Below are 6,000 nucleotides of genomic sequence, written 5' to 3' on the forward strand. Positions count from 1 at the left end.
CGGCTGCTCCTGAGGCCTGGCTTCGCACAGTGGCTCCTGGGTCCCGCGCGCCCTCTCCCTTCCCGCGGTAGCAAGAGCTGCTTTACACATCTCAGCCGGCTTCCTCTTTCTCCCCAGCTGTCCTTGGGACAGCAAGGCCCCCAGCCCGTAGGAAAGACCTAGCCTCCTCTCCAGCACTTGTAGAGGGAGTCGGATGCACGTCTCTTAACCACAGGAAGACAGAGACCCTGAGGCGGGAGCTTCCCTTGCTGCTTCTCTTGGCACAGCGGGTCCAGGGGGCTGGTTCAGGGCCCAGGACTCCTCGCTCCTCCTGGAGGGCCTGGGTCGCGTGGCCTAGGAGCTGGCCACATGGGCATCTCCAGCACTGCTCCTCAGGGAACGGGAGGCATTATCCTGCAGGACCCACTCTTACCCATGAGAGACACCGGGAAATGCTCCTGCGGAAGCTGGAGCTCTGCGCGCTTGACCACTTCGGGGTGAAGCTTCCGTCCGCCCATCCTTCCTTCGAGGGGCCTTGGGGAGAGGAGAAATGCTCCAGGACGATGCCCTTTGCAGTGTCTCAACCGAGACCAGAGGAAAGGAGGGTGCGTCTTCCTGGAAGAAGGTGGCCGAAGGCCTGCGGTCGCCGGGAGGCTTGCGGAGCAGGAGCGCCCTCTCTCCGCCCGAGCTATCCGGTGGCTTCCTGCATCCCACCTGGCGGACTCCTCTTCCTCTCTCTCCTTCTACTCCGGCTCTTCTATCCTGGTGTTCCCTGAATGCCTATCTTCCGTCTGTGCCACGGAACTTCTCACACCCGCTACAAGTTACTCATTTCCTTGGTTGTTCTGAACTTTAAATAAGGTAATGTATGTTACCTTATGCATTTTTCACTGTTAAAAATAGACAATACTGATGATTCAGATGATGCTACTGATGAAACTAATAACAGAAGACAATTATTGAGCATTTATGGCACTCTTACATACATGGGATATTGAATATTTTATGCTAAAGAATTTGAGGAAATATTTATGCTAAAGGAATTTGAGAAAACAACAGAAGCAGGAAGGTCACTGTCACCCTCCCCCTGCGCTTCTTCCCTGAAGCCTATCATAAGACTCTCATGTGAGAGGTGCCCTCTCTGTACCCAGAGGAAAGGTGCATCCTTGAGTCTGAAGACACAGGGACACAGAGAAGAGCCTGAACACAGAGACCTGGCTACGTTATCTCCAGTTTGTTACTGTTAGATCATACATTTTTTTGTCTTATCATACTTCTCCATGAGTATGCACTCTTCATAAAACATACTGTTTAAAAAAAAACCAACAACAACTGAGATTTAGCTCTTTCCACAGGTCTTCGTTTCCTTTGAAGGCACTCCTGTCATGTAAAACTTACATTAAATAAATACATATGCTCTTCTCTTGTTAGTCTGTCATATATATTATACACTTATAAAAGTATATATATACTTATATGTAGTTTATATATATTATATATAAGTATATATATACTTTTATAAAATTGAGCTTAGACTCTATTTTACAAATATTCCATTTAATAGTGCATGAATTTAACTGAAGACAAAGAGACAGAAACAGAAATCAAGGAATTCCTGAACTCTCAATCACAGAGAGACACCTTTCTAAGGCTAAACATACACTAAATTAAGAAGACATTAAGATTTGGAGGGTTTTTTTCTCTTTTCATGTAGTATATATTTTATTAGTTTGTACTAATATATTATCATATTACAAAGGCAATTTAGTGGAAGAATCTTCCTTCTGATATTTGAATCATCTGAAAGAACACAAAAAGAACTATGCATTCAAAAAAATTCTCATTTGGATAACAAAAAAAAGACAAGTTAAACAACAAAAAAATTTTTCCTTTCTCACAGGTGGACATTGAAGTGAACCTAATTCGGTTTTCCTTTTAAAAGCCCCCCATAAACAAAAGTAGTTTAAAACCTATTTAAAATGAATAAAAGATTGGTTTACTAAACTACTCGTCTCCAGCACCATTTTCTCTTTTCTGTTGTTTGGACACAGGTTCTTCTTTGTCTGTTTCTTCTCCTGATCTTTTCATAGGTCCAGTTGCACCATTTTCATCATGTTCATCATCATTAGCAAATTTCATTTTCTTGCCCTGAAACTGTACTTTTTCTTTACCAGACCTAGGATGGGCAGCTTTATTACCCTTTCCTTTTCCTTTAAATCTGTGTCCTTTTGACTTCCATATGTTTAGGGATTCTTGTTGGTCTTCTGTTATTTTTTTCAGTGCTTCTCTTTCCACCTCTCCTTCTAGTACTTCCCAAGTCACTTCTTTGCTCTGTAATTGTAGATTACCATTATTTACATCTTTGGCTTTACCCAACGCTTCCTTGTCTTTTTCTTTAAATAGAATTATCCCCTCTTTTGCTCCTCTGATGAAGTCTATCCATTTTATTTCACCATGACTTGAGAAAAGGATGTGTAAATCTTCTCTACAGGTCTGATCATCTAAATCACCTGAAAACTTCAGCAAGCATCCAATCTTCTCTTCTAGAGATTTCATTTCAGCATCTTCTTCTAACTTTTGATTTGCTTCTTGCTCTTGTTTAGCTCTTAATTTAGCTTCCACTTTATTTTGTTTTCTTTCTTCTTCTTTCTTTTTTTTTATTAATATTATTTTTTTGGCAAAGTAATCATCTTTGAAAAGTATTAGCAGGCCTGTGTCTGTACTTCTGGCCAGGGGTCTCTACAAACTTCTTAGCAGATTCAATGCTATCAAACACAACAAAAACTGATCCCTTAAATATTTTATGCAATGTTCTTCTCATCTGAATATTTAGTACTTGATCTTTATCTTCTAATCATTCTTTTATGTCATCAAGAGTTGCATCAGTTCGGAAGCCTTTAATATAAACAGATCTGTTTCTTTACATCATTTTTATACTCATCAGTCACTTCAGGTAGGGGTTTGCTTGAAGACCTTCTGATTTTAGTTTTATCTTCACTGATTTTCATGAGTTCTGCCTTGGATTTGCTCAATGCTTCCACAATTACATTAAAGTCTGTTGTTAGATGGTTCAACCTGTTGAATTTTATCATTATCTCCAAAGATACCCAGCCTTCGTCCAGTTTTATCTGTTCCCTTAAAAACTTGTCTCCTGGCAAATTGAAGTCTCCAAAATAATACTCAATTTGATGACAGATTTTGGCCTCCAGGGCAGCCATCTTTTCATTATCATCATTTTCAGCCATTGTGGCTATCTTTAAAGTTCCAGTCCCATAGAGCCGTGCCACAGGCTCACAAACAGCAACAGCAATGACTCCTGGAGTGGTTTTCTTATTACTTTTTACAATTAAGTTGATCGAAGTGTGAGTTGACTAGGTACAATGCATCCATTTCAAGTTTGATGACAGGTCTATTATTCTAAAAGGTCCTCTTTTGCGCTTTGAAGTCAGTCCCCGCTTTCCCTGACCCCAGCAATCAATGATGTAGTTTCTGTCAGTCACTATACAGGTAAGTTTTACCTGTTCTAGAAATTCACCTTGATGGCGCCGCATAGGATGCACTCTTTTCATCACTCAGCATAATGTTTTTGAGATTATCCATGCTATCTCATGTTTTGTAATGTGTCCCATTTTATTGCTGGGTAGTTCGGGTAGTTGGAGTAGATCGCAGCGCATTCTGCTGACAGGTCAGACTGCGGTTCCGACCTGCGGGCCTCGGTGAATATGCGCAAGGGCACCTGGGCGCGGGCAGAGCCGTTCCCATCCACAAAATAAGCATGTTATGTCTACAACCGAAGGGGGTCACAGAGCCCCAAAGGCCCTGCTTTCATCGCAAAGAACTGAGCCCGTCGGCGTACAGTTTCTACCTGGCTCTATGAGGTGAGAACACATTCCCCGCCAGCACAGAAATCCTATAAACTCCTGTGGGGCAGCGGTTAGAAGCAGAGGCTGTTAAAGGTAACTCTAGAGGCTGCGGAAAAACACGAAGATTTTCACAGAGCGTGAGAACCCAGGAGACTGGAGACCACGGGCCAATCTCTGCTAAAAGCAGCCCCACGTAGAAAGGAAAGCGCTCTGGGGCCATCGCGCTAGTTAGCTTATGTTAAACAATCTCACCTCGGCTGACCTTATAATTTCTCCGGCGGCAAGGACAACAACCAACGCGTTACTTTCTATTTCATAGCCTCCTAACTACAAGGAAAAACACTTCGGATGCCGTCCAGGATATAACACGATAGACTGCATGCAGTCTATCTTTCCACACCGCAAAAAAAAAAAAAAAACGGGGGAAAAGAGCGAACGCAGTCTCCCACTACCACAAATTATGCAGTCGAGCTTCCCACATTTGGGGAAGTTGCACGAATTAGCTTCGCCCTGCGAAAACCACCTTCGTAAACACGATTTTTCTTCTGCTAGGTAAATGTGAGTCTGCACGCTTCCGCCCCGCCACAGCCTCATACGCCTCACCCTTTACACGCACGGTCACTTGCCCCGCGCACCCTCGAGGCCTCCTAGCCCTGATACACAGCTAGGACTCTCAGGTCCGACCAGCGGTCCTGGACTCCCTCCCACAGCACGGGAACTCCTTCGTGGCGAAGCCGCCGGTGACGAAGCAGCAGCCCCTGCGCTGCCTCATCTACATAGAAGTCGCCCTATCCCTGATGTCACTGACAGCGCCTTCCCCGTCCCAGTCAGCTTTTCCATCCCACCCTCCGCCACTCAGCCGAACAACATGCTGCCACAGCCTGCGGGAGAAGTGACGTTTGCCTCTCCTTCTTTTTCCTCCCTTCCGCGCCGCTGGTCTCCCCCAAGGAAGAGGGTTTTGATTTTTGTTTTGTTTTGTTTTTTGTTTTGAACCGGAGTCTCGCCCTGTCGCCCAGGCTGGAGTGCAGTAGCACGATCTCCGCTCACTACAACCTCCCTTCCCGGGTTGAGACGGTTTTTCTGCCTCAGGCTTCCGAGTAGCTGAGATTACAGCCCGGCTAATTTTTGTATTTTTAGTAGAGACGGGGTTTCACCACTTTGGCCAAGCTGATCTCGAACTCCTGACCTCAGGTGATCCGCCCGCCCCGGCCTCCGCAAGTGCTGGGATTACAGGCGTGAGCCACCACGCCCGGCCAGAAACGGGTTCTTAGCCTGTGTTGCTGAGGACCTCTTTGGCGGGCAGCTGGAGCCTGTGCACCCTTCTTCAAACAATGGCTTTTAATACACTGACTAGAACGTTTGGGATTACAAAAGAAACCAGTTCTTTTCACATCGTTATTCTTGTGATGTAGCATTCTACTTGAAATTGGAAGCCGTTCAATATCAGAGAGAAACCATATCTATGAAACTAGAGAGGTTGCTCAGATGACTGCAAACCAGCCATCCTTAGTTGTTTTACCACTAGTAGTGTTATAAAGATGGTTGTCCAATTTCGTGAATCTTGTAGGGTTTTTGCAAATACAGCAATGTACAAAAATATGCTGCCTCAGCAGAGCACACTGGACACTCAGGCATCATGCTGGAGTTTGTCATCTCTTCCACAGCCTTCTCTAGACCTTAGCACTTACCTCATGTTAGCACTTCATATTGTGCAAAGACAGAAACAAAGTCACCCAAATTTGGCAAAAAATATTTGGGGGAAATTTTATTGGAGGTGCTTAACTGATTAATTTTAATCTGTAGAATACAACCCCAAACTCTGACAATACTCCACAGATTCCAAAACTATCAGGCGAGTTTTTTCCTGCCCATTACTTTCATATAAACTGAATCATAAAGTGTGTAGTGGGTTTTGAGGGAGTGTAACCACCTGATGGGTTCACCTTGTCTGCTGCCTAGACACAGCCAATTTATCAAGACAGGGGAATTGCAATAAAGAAAGTTATTTATGCAGAGCCAACTGTGTGGGAGACCAGAGATTTATTATTACTCAGTCTTCCCAAGCATTCTGGGACAGGAGTTTTCAAGGATAATTTGGTGGGTGGGGGCCAGTGAGTTGGGAGTTCTGATTGGTCAGGTGGGAGATGAACTCATAGGG

At 44.3% G+C, this 6,000-nt stretch overlaps 1 non-coding gene and 1 pseudogene across 1 annotated transcript, besides 3 other annotated features; both read right to left on the bottom strand.

Annotated features, from left to right (window-relative positions):
• Positions 290 to 995: an enhancer, noted in NCBI's record as "H3K4me1 hESC enhancer chr1:146552193-146552898 (GRCh37/hg19 assembly coordinates)". NCBI's record gives its function as "activates a minimal SCP1, AML or CMV promoter by ChIP-STARR-seq in naive H9 embryonic stem cells {active_cell/tissue: H9 hESC(naive)}" and the evidence as "EXISTENCE:reporter gene assay evidence [ECO:0000049][PMID:30033119]".
• Positions 1,680 to 3,296, bottom strand: SSBL4P (small RNA binding exonuclease protection factor La like 4, pseudogene; annotated as a pseudogene).
• RNVU1-8 (RNA, variant U1 small nuclear 8) lies at positions 4,262 to 4,402 on the bottom strand. Its single transcript, NR_121645.1, has one exon. It is a non-coding gene; the product is annotated as an RNA, variant U1 small nuclear 8 (small nuclear RNA).
• Positions 4,357 to 4,960: an enhancer, noted in NCBI's record as "NANOG-H3K27ac-H3K4me1 hESC enhancer chr1:146556258-146556861 (GRCh37/hg19 assembly coordinates)". NCBI's record gives its function as "activates a minimal SCP1, AML or CMV promoter by ChIP-STARR-seq in naive and primed H9 embryonic stem cells {active_cell/tissue: H9 hESC(naive and primed)}" and the evidence as "EXISTENCE:reporter gene assay evidence [ECO:0000049][PMID:30033119]".
• Positions 4,707 to 4,906: an enhancer, noted in NCBI's record as "active region_1631". NCBI's record gives its function as "activates an Ori minimal core promoter by ATAC-STARR-seq in GM12878 lymphoblastoid cells {active_cell/tissue: GM12878}" and the evidence as "EXISTENCE:reporter gene assay evidence [ECO:0000049][PMID:35858748]".

This window comes from Homo sapiens, chromosome 1, assembly GCF_000001405.40.
Source record: "Homo sapiens chromosome 1, GRCh38.p14 Primary Assembly".
Taxonomy (NCBI): Eukaryota; Metazoa; Chordata; class Mammalia; order Primates; family Hominidae; genus Homo; species Homo sapiens.